The 18,778-nt window shown below is 37.0% G+C and overlaps 1 protein-coding gene across 57 annotated transcripts in view; it reads left to right on the forward strand.

Annotated features, from left to right (window-relative positions):
* The window catches only part of NEK11 (NIMA related kinase 11), a 323,589-nt gene that overhangs the window by 67,451 nt on the left and 237,360 nt on the right, over positions 1 to 18,778 (forward strand). For 37 of the 57 annotated variants that reach the window (NM_001353038.2, NM_001353023.2, NM_001353045.2 and 34 more), the window contains one exon: positions 15,476 to 15,594. In NM_001353038.2, coding sequence (NP_001339967.1) covers positions 15,584 to 15,594 — 11 coding nt within the window. In that variant the 5' untranslated portion in view covers positions 15,476 to 15,583. Of the gene's footprint in view, positions 1 to 241; positions 390 to 3,282; positions 3,409 to 15,034; positions 15,177 to 15,475; positions 15,595 to 18,778 lie in introns of those variants that run through there. The other 20 variants (XR_001740271.2, NM_001353022.2, XM_017007209.2 and 17 more) reach the window with 3 other exon arrangements.

Below are 18,778 nucleotides of genomic sequence, written 5' to 3' on the forward strand. Positions count from 1 at the left end.
TTCAATATTAAGTCATGTCAGAACTTATAAAAGTGTGAGATTCATGAGGTGCTATTATTAGGGCCATACACCTTCCGGTAACTATTTTATAAGGGGTCAATCTGTGTTTTCCAAGGGGGGTGGATCTGACTGCCATCAATCAGTAATACCTTTGAACAAGGCAATACAGTCAATTCAGTTAGCTTTGCCTAATACCATTGTGTTTGTAATAACTTATTTAACTGCTTTATAACTTGTCCAGTGAAATGAGCGCCTCTACCACTGGAAATTTCTCCAGGAGTATTCCATAAAGCAAACACATTTCATGATAACCTTTTAGCTACTGTTATATCAGCAACCTTCCTGCATGACGGGAAAGCTTCTGTACATCCAGAAACTATTCATTGAAGGTAGGAATTGAGTGATGTCCATCTGTAAGTATTCAAATGATCCAGCAGGTGCTGGAAATGTATCATCTGAGTGTTTTATTGTCTTGTCAAAATTATGGGTTTGACAAACCAGACAGTGGTTATAAACCATTTTAGGAATTTTAGAACAGACAGCCTGCCAGTATTTTTTAAAATAATTGGGATTATTTTCTCTCTCCTGTGATGAGTTAAGGAGTACAGAGCTTCTAATAATTAAAGCTTTAAGGACTCAGGAAGGACCAAGCAACTGTCCAAGCCCTCCATTAGCCCACACTTAACATTGAATTTACATCCTTTTAAATACCAGTTGATTTCTCCAATTCAGGCACACAGCATTGTTTATGAAATAGTTCATCATAGGTAATTTGACTTGGATCAATCTTATGGAGCTCATTCAAATTGTATATCTTAACAATTTCAGTACTGGCTGACTTAGTATGAAAACCTGCCAAAGCATTTCCTTAGCAACCAATTAATTGGTGTTCTGCTTGATGTGGGGTTAGTGGTTTTATGAACCAATCAATTTATTCATTAGCATTCTAGAAATTCTTATCTAATCTAATTGTGTGAACCTAAGGTTATCAGAAACCTATGTTGTCAGAGTTCTTTCCATGAATCCCCTCAAAGTTGAAAAATTTAGGTTTATAGTTGTTTTCAATAGCTTTCAGGAAAATACCAAAGTAAAACAATTAACTGTCTGTGGATGGCAAGACTTTAAATGATAATGGTTAAATGTCTGATGAAAATTAATTATAATGCAATTGACAAGAAAATTTTGTTTCCTTTTCTGTATATACAGTATTTTTTAAAAATTAAAATTACGAGTGATAGTAATATGTCAAGACTATCAAGTTTCTGGGAATTTCATATAATTTCTGGAAAACATATTAATAACATACTCATGCAATATAACTTAAAGATGGTTCAGCAACACTTATTATTTGACAATGCTTCCCATGCAATTTAACACATCAAATAAGCCTAATTAGTTTAACATCTCTCTTTTTTATAAGAAGAGAGGAAAAAATTCCTTTGAGAAATTCCAGAAGTCAGTTTGGAAACTTCCAAAGTTGGTTTGAGGTCGAAAGGCCTTAATTTAATGCTTGATTTTGAGAAGTGGTTAAAAAATGTCAAAGGGTTTAAAATAATTAAAATAGGATCAGAGGTCACTGGCAACAGTAGTCATTTAAGCAGAGTGATAATTAAAATACTTCAAAGAAAGTTACATAATTATAGAAAAACCTTAGCTTTTTAAATAGAGAGAACTGTTTTCTTGAGTGATCAAAAGACTTATAAAGACCACACGAAGCACAGGAAATTGTCTTTTTAAAAAAATTGACATATTTTTGTTATAGAGGGTACATCTGTAGGTTTGTTACATGGGTATATTGCACCCAGGTAGTGAACATAGTACCCAATAGGTAGTTTTTCAACTCACATCCCCCTTCCTCCCTCCCCTATCTAGTAGTTGGCAGTGTCTGTTGTTCCTCTGTTTATATCCATGTGTGCTCAATGTTTAGCTCCCACTTATAACATGTGATATTTGGTTTTCTGTTCCTGTATTGGTTTGCTTAGGATTATGGCCTCCAGCTTCATCCATGTTGCTGTAGAGGACATGATTTCATTCCGTTTTTATGGCTGTGGAGTATTCCGTGGTGTATATGTATCATATTTTCTTTATCCAATCAATGATTGGTGGGCACCTAAGCTGATTCCATGTCTTTGCTGTTGTGAATAGTGTGGTGATGAACATTATGCATGCATATGTCTTTTTGGTAGAATGATCTATTTTCCTTTGGGTATATTCACAGTAATGAGATTGCTGAGTTGAATAATAGCTCTGTTTTGAGTTCTTTGAGGAATCTCTAAACTGCTTTCCACAGTGGCTGAACTAATTTACATTCCCATCAACACTGGGTAAGCATTCACTTTTCTCCACAGCCTTGCCATTATCTGTTGTTTTTTGACTTTTTATTTTAATTTAATTTAATTTAATTTTATTTTATTATTATTGTTATACTTTAAGTTTTAGGGTACATGTGCACAATGTGCAGGTTAGTTACATATGTATACATGTACCATGCTGGTATGCTGTACCCATTAACTCGTCATTTAGCATTAGGTATATCTCCTAATGCTATCCCTCCCCCCTCCCCCCACCCCACAACGGTCCCCAGAATGTGATGTTCCCCTTCCTGTGTCCATGTGTTCTCATTGTTCAATTCCCACCTATGAGTGAGAACATGCGGTGTTTGGTGTTTTGTCCTTGCGATAGTTTACTGAGAAGATGGTTTCCAATTTCATCCATGTCCCTACAAAGGACATGAACTCATCATTTTTTATGGCTGCATAGTATTCCATGGTGTATATGTGCCACATTTTCTTAATCCAGTCTATCATTGTTGGACATTTGGGTTGGTTCCAAGTCTTTGCTATTGTGAATAGGGCTGCAATAAACATACGTGTGCATGTGTCTTTATAGCAGCATGATTTATAGTCCTTTGGGTATATACCCAGTAATGGGATGGCTGGGTCAAATGCTATTTCTAGTTCTAGATCCCTGAGGAATCACCACACTGACTTCCACAATGGTTGAACTAGTTTACAGTCCCACCAACAGTGTAAAAGTGTTCCTATTTCTCCACATCCTCTCCAGCACCTGTTGTTTCCTGACTTTTTAATGATTGCCATTCTAACTGGTGTGAGATGGTATCTCATTGTGGTTTTGATTTGCATTTCTCTAATGGCCAGTGATGATGAGCATTTTTTCATGTGTCTTTTGGCTGCATAAATGTCTTCTTTTGAGAAGTGTCTGTTCATATCCTTTGCCCACTTTTTGATGGGGTTGTTTGTTTTTTTCTTGTAAATCGTGAAGGACCTCTCCAAGGAGAACTGCAAACCACTGCTCAATGAAATAAAAGAGGACACAAACAAATGGAAGAACATTCCATGCTCATGGGTAGGAAGAATCAATATCGTGAAAATGGCCATACTGCCCAAGGTAATTTATAGATTCAATGCCATCCCCATCAAGCTACCAATGACTTTCTTCACAGAATTGGAAAAAACTACTTTAAAGTTCATATGGAACCAAAAAAGAGCCCGCATCGCCAAGTCAATCCTAAGCCAAAAGAACAAAGCTGGAGGCATCACGCTACCTGACTTCAAACTATACTACAAGGCTACAGTAACCAAAACAGCATGGTACTGGTACCAAAACAGATATAGATCAATGGAACAGAACAGAGCCCTCAGAAATAATGCCGCATATCTACAACTATCTGATCTTTGACAAACCTGAGAAAAACAAGCAATGGGGAAAGGATTCCCTATTTAATAAATGGTTCTGGGAAAACTGGCTAGCCATATGTAGAAAGCTGAAACTGGATCCCTTCCTTACACCTTATACAAAAATTAATTCAAGGTGGATTTAAGACTTAAACGTTAGACCTAAAACCATAAAAACCCTAGAAGAAAACCTAGGCATTACAATTCAGGACATAGGCATGGGCAAGGACTTCATGTCTAAAACACCAAAAGCAATGGCAGCAAAAGCCAAAATTGACAAATGCTATCTAATTGAACTAAAGAGTTTCTGCACAGCAAAAGAAACTGCCATCAAAGTGAACAGGCAACCTACAAAATTGGAGAAAATTTTCACAACCTACTCATCTGTTTTTTGACTTTTTAAAAATGGCCATTCTGACTGGTATGAGATGGTAACTCATTATGGTTTTGATTTGCATTTCTCTGATGATTAGTGATGATGAGCATTTTTTCATATGTTTCTTGGCCACTTGTATATCTTCTTTTGAGGAGTGCCTGTTCATGTCCTTTGCCCACTTTTTTTTTTTTTTTTTAGATGGAGTCTCACTCTGTTGCCCAGGCTGGAGTGTAGTGGCGCAATCTCCGCTCACTGAAACCTCTGCCTCCTGGGTTCAAGCGATTTTCCTGCCTCAGCCTCCTGAGTAGCTGGGATTACAGGTGCGCACCACCACACCCAGCTAATTTTTGTATTTTTCATAGAGATGGGGTTTCACCATGTTGGTCAGGCTGATCTCTAACTCCTGACCTTTGCCTACTTTTAAATGTTTTTTTTTTTCTTCCTTGTTGATTTAACTTCCTTATAGATTCTGGATATTAAACGTTTGTTGGATGCATCATTAGTCAATATTTTATTCCATTCTGTACATCATTTGTTTACTCTGTTGATAGTTTCTTTGGCTGTGCAGATGCTCTTTCATTTAATTAGGTCCCACTTGTTTTGTTTTAGTTGCAACTGCTTTTGAGAACTTAGCCAGAAATTCTTTGCCAAGACCAATGTCAAGAAGGGCATTTCTTAGGTTTCTTCTAGAATTTTTATAGTTTGATGATTTACATTAAAATCTTTGATCAATCTTGAGTTAATTTTTGTATGTGGTAAAAGGTAAGGGTCCAGTTTCAGTCTTCTGCATATGGCCAGCCAGTTATCTCAGGACCATTTATTGAAAAGAGATCCTTTCTCCATTCCTTGTTTTTGTTGGCCTAGTCAGAGATCAGACGGTTGTGTGTGGCTTTATTTCTGAGTTTTCTATTCTGTAGCTACTGGTTTATGGGTCTGTTCTTGTACTAGTATCATGCTTTTTGTTTACGATAGCCTTATAATACAGTTTGAAGTCAGGTAGTGTGATGCCTCCAGCTTTGTTCTTTTCCTTAGGATTGCTTTGGCTATTCAGGCTCTTTTTTGGTTCCATATGAATGTTAGAGTAGTTTTTTCTAATTCTGTGAAGAATGATGCTGGTAGTTTGATAGGAATAGTGTTGAATCTGTAGATTGCTTAGGGCAGTATGGCTATTTTAACAGTATTGATTCTTCCAATCCATAAGTATGGAATGTTTTTTCCATTTATTAGTGTCATCACTGATTTCTTTCAGCAATGTTTTATATTTCTCCTTGTAGAGATCTTTCACCTCTATGGTTAGCTGTATTCCTGGGCATTTCATTTTCTTTGTGGCTATTTTAAATGGGATTGTGTTCTTGATTTGACTCTCAGCCTGGACATTATTGGCTTATAGAAATGCTATTGATTTTTGTACATTGATTTTGTATCCTGAAACCTTACTAAAATTGTTTATCACTTCTAATAGTCTTTTGGTGGAGTCTTTAGGGTGTTTTAGGAATAGAATCATACTGTCAGCAAAGAGAGATAGCTGACTTCGTTTTGGATGCCTTTTATTTCTTTCTCTTGCCCAGTTGCTCTGGCTAGGACTTCCAGTAGTATGTTGAATGGGAGTGGTAAGAGTGGGCACCCTCATCTTGTTCCAGTTCTCAAAGAGAATGGTTCCAGTTTTTGCCATTCAGTATGATGTTGGCTGAGAATTCTTCATAGATGGCTCTTATTATTTTGAGGTATGTTCCTTTAATGCCTGGTCTGTTGAGGGTTTTTATCATGGATGTTGGATTTTCTTAAAAGCTTTTTCTGCATTTATTAAGATGATCATATGGTTTTCGCTTTTAATTTTGTTTATGTGGTGGGTGAATCACATTTATTGATTTGTGTATGTTAAGCCAACCTTGCATCCCAAAAATAAGGCCTACTTGGGCCAGGCATGATGGCTCATGCCTGTAATCCCAGCACTTTGGGAGGCTGAGGTGGGCAGATCACGAGGTCAGGAGTTGCAGCTAGTCTGGCCAACATGGTGAAATCCCGTCTCTACTAAAAATATAAAAAATTAGCTGGTGGCTACTCAGGAGGCTGAGGCAGGATAATCGTGTGAACCTGGGAGGCCAAGGTTGCAATGAGCTGAGATCATGCCATTGCACTCCAGCACAAGTGACACTGCAAGACTCTATCTCTAAATAAATAAATTAATTAAGCCTACTTGATTTTGGCATATTAACTTTTTGCTGTGCTACTGGATTCAGTTTGCTATGTTTTATTGAGGATTTTTGCATCAATGTTCATCATGGATATTGGCCTGAAGTTCTCCTTTTTCGTTGCATCTTTGCCAGATTTTGGTATTAGGCAGTTGCTGGCTTCATAGAGTGAATTAGGGAGGAGCCCCTCCTCCTTGATTTTTTGGAATAGTTTTAGTAGGATTGGTACTAGTTCTTTTTGTACAACTGGTAGAATTCAGCTGTGAATCCATCTGGTGCAGGACTTTTTTTGGTTGGTAGGTTTTATTATTATTATTATTGCAGAGCTCAGTATTGGTCTATTCAGAGTTTTAATCTCTTCCTGATTCAGTCTTGGGAGATTGTGTGTTTCCAGGAATTTATGTGTTTCCTCTAGATTTTCTATTTTGTGTGTGTAAGTTGGTCGTAGTATTCTCTGAGGATCTTTTGTATTTCTATGGGATTGGTTGTAATATCATCTTTGTCATTTCTGATTATGCTTATTTGGATCTCTTTTTTGTTGTTAATCTAGCTAGAGGTCTACCAATCTTGTTTATTTTTTATAAGAACCAACTCTTGGTGTCACTGACCTTTTGTATAGATTTTTGCATCTGAGTTTCATTCAGTTCTTCTCTAATTTCAGTTATTGTTTTTCTTCTGCTAGCTTTAGGGTTGGTTTGTTCTTTTTTCCTAGTTCCTTTACGTCCAAAGTTAAATAGTTAATTTGAGCTCTTTCTAACTTCTTGATGAAGGTATTTAGTACTATAAACTTTCCTCTTAACATGTTGAGCTACACCCTGGAGATTTTGGTATGTTGTGTCTCTATTTTCATTAATTTCAAAGAATTGTTTGATTTCTGCCTTAATTTTGTTGTTAACCCAGAAGTTATTCAGGAGCAAGTTGTTTAATTTCCATGTAACTGTGTAGTTTTGAGAGGTCTTCTTGATATTGATTTATATTTTTATGCACTGTGGTCTGAGAGTATGCTTGGTATGATTTCAAGTTTTTGAATTTATTGAGACTTGCTTTATGACCAAGCATGAGTTCGATCTTAGAATATGTTCATGTGGAGAAGAGAAGCATATATATTCTGTGGTTGTTGGATGGAGTGTTCTATAAATGTTTATTATGTCCAGTGGGTGAAGTGTTAAGTCCATAGTTTCTTTGTTAGTTTTCTGCCTTGATGGTATGTCTAATGCTGTCAGTGGGGTACTGAAGCCTCACTGTATTACTATGTGTTTGTCTAAGTCTTTTCATAGGCCAAGAAGAACTTGTTTTATGAATCTGGATACTATAGTACTAGGTGCATATATGTTTGGTATAGTTAAGCCTTCTTGTTCAATTAAGCCTTTATCATTATGTAATGTCCTTCTGTGTTCTCCTTAATTTTTGTTGGTTTAAAATCTGGGTTATTTTATATGGGAATAGTGACTCCTGCTCTTTTTTGTTTTTTTGTTTGGATAGTGAATCTTTCTCCATCCCTTTACTTTGAGCCCGTGTGTACCATTACATGTTAGATGGGTGTTAGCTTGCCACTCTTTTGCTTTTATATGGGATGTTTAGCTCATTTACATTCAGGGTTATTATTAATATGTGAGATATTGATCCTGTCATCATGTTGTTAGCCGGTTGTTATGTAGAATTAAGATTGCTTTGCAGTGCCTGTGGGCTATGTGCCTATGTGTGTTTTTGTGGTAGCAGGTGCCATTCTTTCAATTCCACATTTAGCACTCCCTTAAGGACCACTCGTGAGGCTGGTCTAGTTAAAATGAATTCCCTCAGCATCTGCTTTTCTGAGAAGGGTTTTATTTCTCCTTCACTTATGAATCTTTGTTTGATGAGATATGAAATTCTTGGTTGAAATTTCTTTTATTTAAGAGTGCTGAAAATAGTACCCCAATCTCTTCTGGCTTGTAAGGTTTCCGCTGAGAGGTTTGCTGCTAGCCTGATGGGTTTCCCTCTGTGCATGAATTGACTTTTCTCTCTTCCTTTAAGATTTTTTCTTTTACCTTGACCTTGGTGAATCTGATGACTATGTGCCTTGGGGATGGTTGACTTATATGGTGTCTAACCAAGGTTCTCTGTATTTATTCGTTTTGCATGTCATCCTCTCTAGCAACATTAGGGAAATTTTCATGGACTATATCCTCAAATATATTATCTGAGTTGTTTATTCTCTCTCTCTCAGGAATACCATTGAGTCATAGATTTGGTCTCTTTATATAATCCTATATTTATCAGAAGTTTTATTCATTTTTAAAAATTATTTTTCTTTATTTTTGTCCAACTGAGTTGATTCGAAGAACTGGTCTTTGAGCTCTGAGATTCTTTTCTCAGCTTTGATCCTTCTGTTAATACTTTTGATTATATTATGAAATTCTTGTAGTCAATTTTTCAGCTCTAGAAGCTCAATTTGGTTCTTTTTTAAATGGCTATTTCATCTTTCAGCTCTTAGATCATTTTACTAATTCCTTGGAATCCTTGGGTTGGGTTTCAACTCTCTCCTGAATCTCCATGAGATTCCTTGTCATCCAGAGTCCACATTCTATGTCTGTCATTTCAGTCACTTTTGATTGGTTAAAAACCATTGCTGGGGAGCTAGTGGACTTGTTTGGAGGTAAGGGTACACTCTGGCTTTTTGCATTGCCAGAACTCTTGAGTTGGTTCTTTCTCATCTGAGAAGGTTGGCGTTCCTTTAATTGTGGTGTAAATTGAGTATAGTTAGTTGGCTTCATTTCTGGATGTTTTCAGAGGGCCAATGCTCTATGCAGCTTCTTTATTTGTGGCTGAATTCTTACCCTTGGTCTTATAGGGGGTTATATTAGCAAAGTATTTTTGTTGTTGTAGTTTGGGCTGCAATCCAGTAGATGAAGCTTAAGCGTATTTGCTGGTAGAGGCTCTTACTCTGCTGCATGGCTCCTTTGTATTTCCTGCCACTTGCAAGCTTGCTCTGTGGTGCAGTGGCAAGAGAGGTGACCCCTTCACTGCATTTACTCCTGGGCCTTGGGGGAACTCCTTCCAATCACTGGCACTGTACCTGCATTTCTTTTGTTAGATGTTTGGGCTGCAGGGTTCCCTCAGTCAGAGGCTGAAGTAGGGAGATAGACCATACCTTTTCAGTCTGGCTCTGTGGAGAAAGGCATGCCTATTCCTGCTGCGGCCCATGAACCCACGTGACTCAACCCTCTTAGTGCTCTGAGAATGTGGGCTCCATTCCCACTCAAGTGCCTTAGTACTCCTAGGCTATGCACTGCAGCCCTGGGGAGAGATCAGGGTTTTTGTTCCTTCCCCACCTTGGGGGCAGCAGAGGTGGGGCTGCAGTGGCAGCAATGGCATACAGCCTGCCAGTTACCTCAGGGGGTGCCACCCCAAAGAAATGCATAGCTATGGCTAATTTGAGTGATCAGCTAGGGATGGGGCAGCTGTGCTGTGGGCCCAAGCTTGGGAGTAGGTGGGGTGGGGGCTCTGCCTAGGGAAGACAAAAGAAGATAGTTTGGCCTCTTCTCCATAGGATGGCTGTGGTGTGCTATAGGCCTGCAACAACAATCAGGCTGTTTGTTCCCTTTCTAGCCTGGGTGTTGGGGGTGATGGGTGGGTACTATGGTGGTGGCAGTGACAGAGGGCCTGTCAGTTGTCTCTGGAAGCTCCACCCCAGAGAAATGCAGAACCACCACTAACTGATCAGGTGGGAGTGGCACAGCTGCTCTGGGGGCCTAAGCTGGAAGGCCGTGCCCAATCAGGAGCAGCAAGTTCAGAGAGCTGCATGGAAAACAGTCTGGCTGCCTTACTGTATGGCAGCTGTGGCATTCTGGAGGCCAATGACAGTTCTTAGATTCTTTACTCTCTCCCCAGCCTGAGGACAGCAGGGGCAGGGGCTGTAGCAGTGGCAATTGCAGCAGGCTTGTCAGTTGCCTCTGGGAGCTCCATCCCAGAGGAAAGAAGAGCGATGACCAGCTGGAATGTTCAGATTGGGGTGGGGTGGCTGTGATTGGACCTTGCCTGATGAGGTACAGTCTGCAGTTCATCCTCTCCTCAGCACCGTGCGTGTGGTACCTATCCTAGAGGTGCACGAGAGAGCCTGAGCTCCTTTGTTTGTAGGGCTATGGCAGCTGGCACCAACATGCTCAGAGATCCAAGGCTCATGGAGCTCAATGTGGGCTTCAGTGGTAGCTCTGCACAGACTCCACAAGCTCTCTGTGTCGATCTGGAAGCCCAGGGGAGCCGGGGGCCTCTCCTGTGCCCAAGATTACAAAGGTCATGCAGACATGTGGTCCTTGGGGACTCTCACTCATCCTCTCATCCTTTCCTTGCAGCTGGGAGCCTCCTCTGGCTCTGCACCAATCCTGGGTGGGCAGCTGTCCTACCTTGCTCTTCTTTGCTTTCTGTGGGTCGCTGTTGCTTCTTTGATGAATCAAAACATGGCCTCCTGTATGATCCACTTGAAGATCTAGTGTTTACTTGCAGCTCTGCCTCTTCTCCATGAGAGCAGCATGCACTAACTGCTTCTAGTCAGTCATCTTGGCAAGTCAGCCATCATGGCATTTCTTTAACTTTCTTAATTATCTTGACAAAATGCAGAATATTTCCTTAGCCAATTACCTAAAAGGTAAAAACAAAACAAACAAACAAAAAACCTTTTCACAATTTCCTGTTAAAAGTAGACCAGTACCTCAAGAAAAAGTTGTTTTAACATAAAGGATGAAATTCTAATTTCCCTTCATAGTGTTTTTGATATTAATGCTTAATTTTTAGAAAAATTTATAAATAGCACGTCTAATCTTAGCTAGCTTAATCACGTATAAAATTTCTTTCCCAAGGTTTCCCTTCTACAGACTTTTTGTATTAGTCCATTCTCAATGAAGAAATAGCCAAGACTGGGTAATTTATAAAGGAAAGAGGTTTAATTGACTCACAGTTCCACATGGCTGGGGAAGCCCCAGGAAGCTTATAATCATGTTGGAAGGCAAAGGAGAAGCAGGCACTTCTTCACAGGGCAGCAGGATGGAGTGAGTGCAAGCAGGGGAAATGCTAGATGCTTATAAAACCATCAGATCTTCTGAGACTCACTCACTGTCATGAGAACAGCATGGGGGAAACCACCCCCATGATTTGATTATCTCCACCTGGTCCCGCCCTTGACATGTGGAGATTATGGGGATTACAATTCAAGATGAGATTTTGGGTGGGGACACAGCTAAACCATATTACTTTCTAATATCCAGTCAGTTTTTTTCCCCAAATAGTTCTTTCTCATTTTGGATCAATCATTCTGCTCTAGAACAAAAATTATTCTCTTTTTGTTTTAACAGAACAATTCACATCCTCATAACTTATGCTTTTCCTTACCAAAAGCACATCTTACCTATATTGTATACTTGCATATAAAGTTGTTTTCCTTATTATTTCTAGTAATTTTAGTTACATATTTTAATTAGAATTCTTAGCCCTTTATGACCTTAATTTCTAGTGAACACTAGGAAGCAAGCAAGTGTGAATATCATGCCAGCAGTCTATAGATTGGAAAACCTGTGAATTATAATTCTAGGAGCATGTACTTTTTTATAATACATTTTTTTCAATGTGGCACAGAACATTTATTAACAGTCCCAACTGTCTTTAGTCTCTCTGTAGTAAGAAACTGTAGAGGAAACAAATTTTTATTTCTATCCTGTTAGGGCTTTTTTTTTTTTTTTCCCATCCTTCGTAAGAATGTTAAAAGTTTCTGGTATAGAAAGGACATTTTTCACATGGGAATTCTATCTTACCTCTATTTGACTCTTGCTTTTAACAATTATGCTTGAAATGCTCATAAAGATGAGACATTAAATAGCTAGCCATCACCTTAAGTTATTTTTCTTGCTGACAAGCTATGTCACATAGAGATAACATGAACTTATTTTACTAAATAAACCTAGGGGAGAAGAGTTGTGCATCTGTATTATACTAAATGCCGACAACTCTGAAGGTATGCCTGCATTAATCAAGCCAATATACTTTTATTAGCTACTATTTACCGAAGATTATCCAAGATTATGTCAACTTGAAAAATATTTTAGGTTTGTTTCTAAGGGTTTAAGGAATACCTATTTTATATAAGCACTTATTTTTCTTTAAACCAATTAAATAGTTCTCTTTTACAACTTAATTTTGGCAATACCATAAAGAAAAAGAAATATGTTACACATTCATAACATACATACTGACATATATAAATATAAACATAAAAACAGATCTTGTAGTATTCATTTAAAAATTTTAGCCAGGTGCCAAGTACAATAACACAAAGCTCACTAATCTGGAAGTGAATTTTTTTCTGGCCCATGGAACAAGATTACCCACCCAGATGGCTAAAGCTTTTGACTGATATTTGTAGAAAAGACTTAAGATTTTTTCCATTGGCCTTCTCTAAGGAATCTTTTAAAGAGGAAATCTTTGATTCATTTCATATCTTAGATATTTAATACTTCTGTGTATCCATTAAAGAGTGTGTCCCATTGCTTTTGTGGTATGTTGGATCCTTTCTTCTCTAATGTGCCTCACAAGTAACCAATTTTATCTGGGTTAAAACTTCACTGTGGCCACTGTAATTCTAGCTTGTCCTTAGTAAGGTTAACACATTTTAAAAAAATGCACAGGTTCTGGGACCATAATTTTTGTACATGGAGAAAATTGTGCTTATTTTTGGTGTTTTTAAAGCGATACATTGGGTTGACATACGTCGTGCACATGTACCCTAAAACTTAAAGTATAATAATAATAAAATAAAAAAAAAAGAAGCTAGCAGGTAGCTTCACTGATATTTCTTTAAGGCAAATTTTTCTTTTCCTTTTTCTTTATCATTGTCTTCATCCTCTTCTCTCTCCTTTCACTCCTCTTCTGAAGGTATTCAGGAAGAAGATGGCAACATGTAGGCAATAGTCTTTCTGCCACTGGAGATGTTTTATCGTGTTCAGAGAAACTAAATGAGATATACCAGAATCCTCGCATACTCAAGTCCTGCAGTTGGCCCTGCAGAACCTTCATATATACAAAAGCCCTTCATATATGCAGATTTCCATTCCTGCAAATATTGTATTTCCAATATGTGTTTGGTTGAAAAAATATCAGTTTAGAAGCTGATATTATAAGCTTGTAAACTGATATATTAAGCAGACCTACGCAGTTCAAACCCATGTTATTCAAGGGTCAACTGTATGTTTACAGGTCACCTTTCATCTGAAGGACTTTCATGTCTGCTACACAGGATGTTATAATGATCTATTGTCAGAAATGTTCTTTGCAACTTACAGAAACATGAGAGTACAGCTTGTATGGCTCAACAGAATTCTGATAAACTCAAGGAGTAAAAAGAGAGAAGAAATAAAGGCAGGTTTGAAGAATGAGAAAGAAATGATAGTCTTTTAGACAAGGAGTTAAGTATTCAATTCGCCATATTTTTGAATTCCACCAAGCTTTGGAACACTCTCCTTGGCCCAGAAAAACTATCAGGAAACCGTACTTGAGCTAGGCTGCTAGTGAATGTTTGCTATACTTTTGATTTGTTACGGCCCTGTGTAGGAGAGAAAATGCTAAGCAAATATTTGCACATTGCACTGTAAGGAAATAAAAAGTGCATTAGAAGTGAATCAGTTGACCTCATATTGTTTCATTAGAAGTAATTTCTTTTGGATTGTCTCATTGCCTATAAATGTTCTTCCTTTGCATCTTAACAACAACTCTGTCATGAGTAGTCTATGACTAGCTTATTTTTTCCACTTTTGCTCCCCATGAATATGATAAGGACCTCTCCCACTCTTTATGGGGCCTGTGTTTTGCATCCTGCAAAGACTAAACACAGTTAACATTGAATCCATCCTTTTCTTTAGAGGAACATTTCTCAAATTATCTCTAAGTTTTCGGTGTTTTACAGTAAAATGGATCAGGTCTAAGGGTTCTCTAAGAAAATTTAGCATTTGACATTTTTATTTTTATAGCAATTGAAATACATCAGTACAACCATATTCAGAAAGGGCATTATGTCAGACACTGCCAGGCTATTTTAGATGTTTGTCATTTTTGATCATAGTTAGTTTTTGGCCTTAATAATAAGTATTATTATTTTACTTATTGCCAGTGAATGATAGGATAGAGCTTAACTAAATGCTTAAACGATGTGCTTGGATCCCCACATAGATCCACAGTTATTATATTCCTTAGGGTTTTGCTATAGCTACGTAGAGGAAAGGAGAATTCAGTCATCCCAATGCGCATGGTACCCTGGGCATGCTGAACTCAAAAGAAGCTATACTACAGCAGCTATATGCACAATATAAGTGCCAATTTAGTTTCACCAAAAATCATCACTTTATATTAAATTCATATCACTGATTTGAATTTTATTGGCCGACCTTTTTAAGTTTTATATGTTAAGATTCTATAATTATATACAACTCTAAGTGTAAGAAAAGTTATTGCTAGTTTTATGTGGGTGCATATATAGGTAATATAATAAAAAATAATTTAGATTGAAGGTTTGTGTGATAACTTTTCTCCTTATAAGGGTTTTTTCCTGGAGTGATATCATTAAAGCATTTAAAACAGATTTTATGAAGTAACTACTGATACTAGAGGAAAGAGCTAAGCTCCATTCTAATTTGTGCAGAGTGACTGGGTATTCAGGGAGAATAAGGGAGTAGGGAAGAGGAACAGCAGGGGCCTGAGCAGAGTCAAGGAAGTGAAAAATTACAAAAATCAGGAAGTGGAGGTTGGTCCCTGTAAACTCATGTGGGTTTGTTATCTGGTGCTCATCAAAGTTAGACTCCTAACCTTCCTTAGAGATTGGGAGACAAGAGCCCTATCTTCAGGCATTGGCTGGAAGAAACTGTCAATTCTTCTGTCTACCTTGAGTTTTCTCAGGTAGGAACTTTAAGGGGTAGGAGGGTAGGACCATCCTAGGGTTGTGGCCTTGGGCTTTTAGAAACTATTAATAGATTCGTGTTTGTTAAAGTCTTTATAGGTTAATGTTGAGGCCGAGCTGAGAAGAGTGCTCAAAGGAACCTGGATAGACTTTGATTAAAGAGAGAATCTTTGTCAGTGATAATTACAGAATGGCACTTTCTTATAAACAGTGACTGCTATGTATTAACTGTTGTTAAGTGAACTTGATTTTAACATATTAGCTGAAAAAATATGAAAGATTATGCTCTTCATTTCAGGGCCGAGATCTGGACGATAAAATTCAGGAATATAAACAAGCTGGAAAAATCTTTCCAGAAAATCAAATAATAGAATGGTTTATCCAGCTGCTGCTGGGAGTTGACTACATGCATGAGAGGTATGTTCATTTGCTACTGGGGGAGCATGATATATTTTTAACAGTCATGTTTGAACTTGAAAAGTGAATTTTTTTTCTATAATTGAAAGAAAACAAGTTCAAAAGGTATATGGCTAAAATTAAACATCTATAATATGTTTTTCCTTGAGAAAACTGTTGAATGATTATATCTAGAGGATTTACTTGCATAGCTTTTTGTTGCTGTTCTGAAACTCAAGTTGGCCTTGAATATAAGACAGAAATTTGTATTAAACACATTTCATTATGTCTGATCATGTCCTGTGAATTACAGGAAGTTCTCAGAAACCTTTGGCATCCTATGAATTTATTGTATCTTACAGCAGGCTTGAGTTGTAAATACCTTAGTATGCCACAAATGAATTGTGTGGTCGCCTTGGAATGTGTCAGTGCACACTTAGCTAGGTTCACATCCCAAAAGAGCTCAGTAATTGAGACAGAATGTATTCTTTCACCTCAGAGGGATAAGTATTCAGATAGAAAGTCAGTTTTGATATGAAGTATCTCATAATGAAGGTCAATTATTTTGATTATCTGTGATTTACATTTACAATCTCTGCCTCAAAAATGTATTTTAAAACTTTTAATGAATTTTTATAGGTCAAAAGTAAGAAGTTTTAGAAGTTAAATATTTTAGAGACCCATAAAATGATATGAACACGTTTGAAAAGATGAACATACATAGACAAAAAAGAAGTGGATATTCTGAGGTGTCTGTGGTCGCTTTCACCTTGGAAGTGGGCGTTAACACATGGTACCATTCTTCTTGAACGAAAGGGGGTAATTTATAAAGCACACCAAGGTCTAACTATCCGTGGATGTCAGGTTGCTTAAATGTGTCATCTGTACTTTCTGACAGCATAAAAAGTAATCGGATTATTCTGTAATTCGCCATGTATCTTCTAAAACACATGCTTGTTGATACAGATAGCTACTGATTTATTGACACCTCATAACAATCTGTTGGATGATGTCAAACTATCTTTAGAAATCTTTTATTAAAAGATTATTTGACTTAAATGAATCAAATAATCTTTTAATAAGCTACCCAAAGCTACTGACTGTAAAACTTCTGTGTACATACATTTATATTGGTATTTCTTTTATTTCTTTATTTCTTAGCATATTGTTAGGTTATATGCAAGAAAAACAACTAAAAAACAACACATATTAAGATGCTAACTATGGTATTCTATGCACAAAATACAAAACTGGAATTTGGTTGATTTAAGAACCCAAATATTTTTGATACCTTTAAGACTGCTTAGTAATAGTTAAAATAAATGAGTTTAAAATAACCCTTTGAACAGAGGCTTATAATTTTTAATCCTTTAATATTCAAAGAAAGTCATTAAATGAGACTAAATATTTGGATATTTGTGAATCTGTGGATCTGAAATACAATCCTTTGTGATTCAGGTAACAATTGATGGTGCTTCTTAGTCATTATGTTATTATAACCAATTACTGTAAAATTTTTATGTACAGAGAAATTACAATTTTATGTTTCGGTTCATTCATTCCTTCATTAGATAGTGATAAATTAAAAATAAGTCTCAACCTCAAAGAGCTGTTAGTAAGCTAGCCGACATAAAACATGTACCCTTATAACTATAAGCCATGCACCATGGTGGATGTGCACAATTCATTGTCTCCACTATTCACCAGATTCATGACCTTGAGCAAGCTGGTCATGAGAGCAAGCTCTCCTCTCTGAACCTGTTTCCTCATCTATTAGATTGGTGCAAAAGTAATTGTGGTTTTTGCCATTATTTTTAATGACAAAAGCCACAATTATTTTTGCACCTACCTAATATAAAGTAAGGATAATAATAGGACTCTCCTTGCTTACATTAAAGGGTAGAAAATATGCATTCAGATATTAGACAGTTTAAAAGTTTGCAAAATGTTAAGCTCTATGTAATGTTGTTGTTATAATTTAATATAGAAATGAGAGCACAGACATCAAAAGGGGTTTTAAAAACGATGACAGTAGCAAGTGTTGGTAAACATATGGAGTACCTGGAATTATTTTATATTGTTAATAGGGTATACATTGATATAAACACTTTTGAGAAATGTTTGCAAAACTTTCTAAGCCAAACATACAAATAGCTATGACCCAGTAATTCTATTCCTAAGGGTAGAAATGAGTGCTGATGTCCAACAAAAGGTATGCAGAAATGTCCATAGAAGCCTTTTTTGTAATAGTGAAAACATTAAAAAATATTCATCTACAGTGGAATGGTTAACCTGAGTGTGGTATGGCCCTATAATGGACTTTTAAAATTACTATTCTATAATTTAAAAACAATACACAATTGATAATAAGCATGACCTGGGTGAATCTCAGAGATCAGAGGTAGGATGACAGAAGCCAGATGCAAAAGAGTGTATACTGCATGACTACATTTATATGAAGTTCAAAAATAGGCAAAACTAACCTAAGATAAGTCAGAATAGTGATTACTCTTGCAAAGGGGTTTTGCCTGGAAGGGGCACAAAGAAACCTGGGATGTTAGAAATGTTCTATATCTTAATCTGGATAGAGGATTACAAGAGTGGTACAGATGTTGATATATATGTAAAAAATCATCAAATTTAAGATTTTTGCATTTTAATGTAAGTTATACTCTAGTTTAAAACAAGTGATAAAAGGGCCAAGAAAAGTACAATTTAGTGTTACAGGAGATCAGAAGAGAGATAATGTTTTCATTTGGAGAATCAATGGAGGCTTCTTCTTGGAAGAAGTAGCACTTGACCCAAGGTAGGTTTCAAGTATGATGAAAAATGGGTCAGAGCTTTCCAGATATAGGGAACAGAGCACAGCCACAGAGGTGGGAAAACATGGAACTTTTAGAGAGAATCATGAGTAGTTCTATTGGGAAGGTTCTTGGAGTAATGAATAAAGTTGTTTGCAAAGGTAGGCTGAGGTCAAGAGGGCTTTATTTTGGAGCATAGACATTGAACTCCACAAGAGCTTTTTGAGTGGAGTTATATAATATTGCCAGAGCTTGCTTCAGGAAGGTTAGATGATAAATTATATCAAGGAGAGAAGGTAACTTGGGTTATCAGTCAAGAACCTTTTATAATATCCATGCATGAGATTGTGAGACCTAAACCAAGCTGGCAGAGGTGGGTAGAATGAGGAAAGATGAGAATGAAC

The sequence above is a fragment of the Homo sapiens genome, chromosome 3 (genome assembly GCF_000001405.40).
Source record: "Homo sapiens chromosome 3, GRCh38.p14 Primary Assembly".
In the NCBI taxonomy this organism is placed as follows: Eukaryota; Metazoa; Chordata; class Mammalia; order Primates; family Hominidae; genus Homo; species Homo sapiens.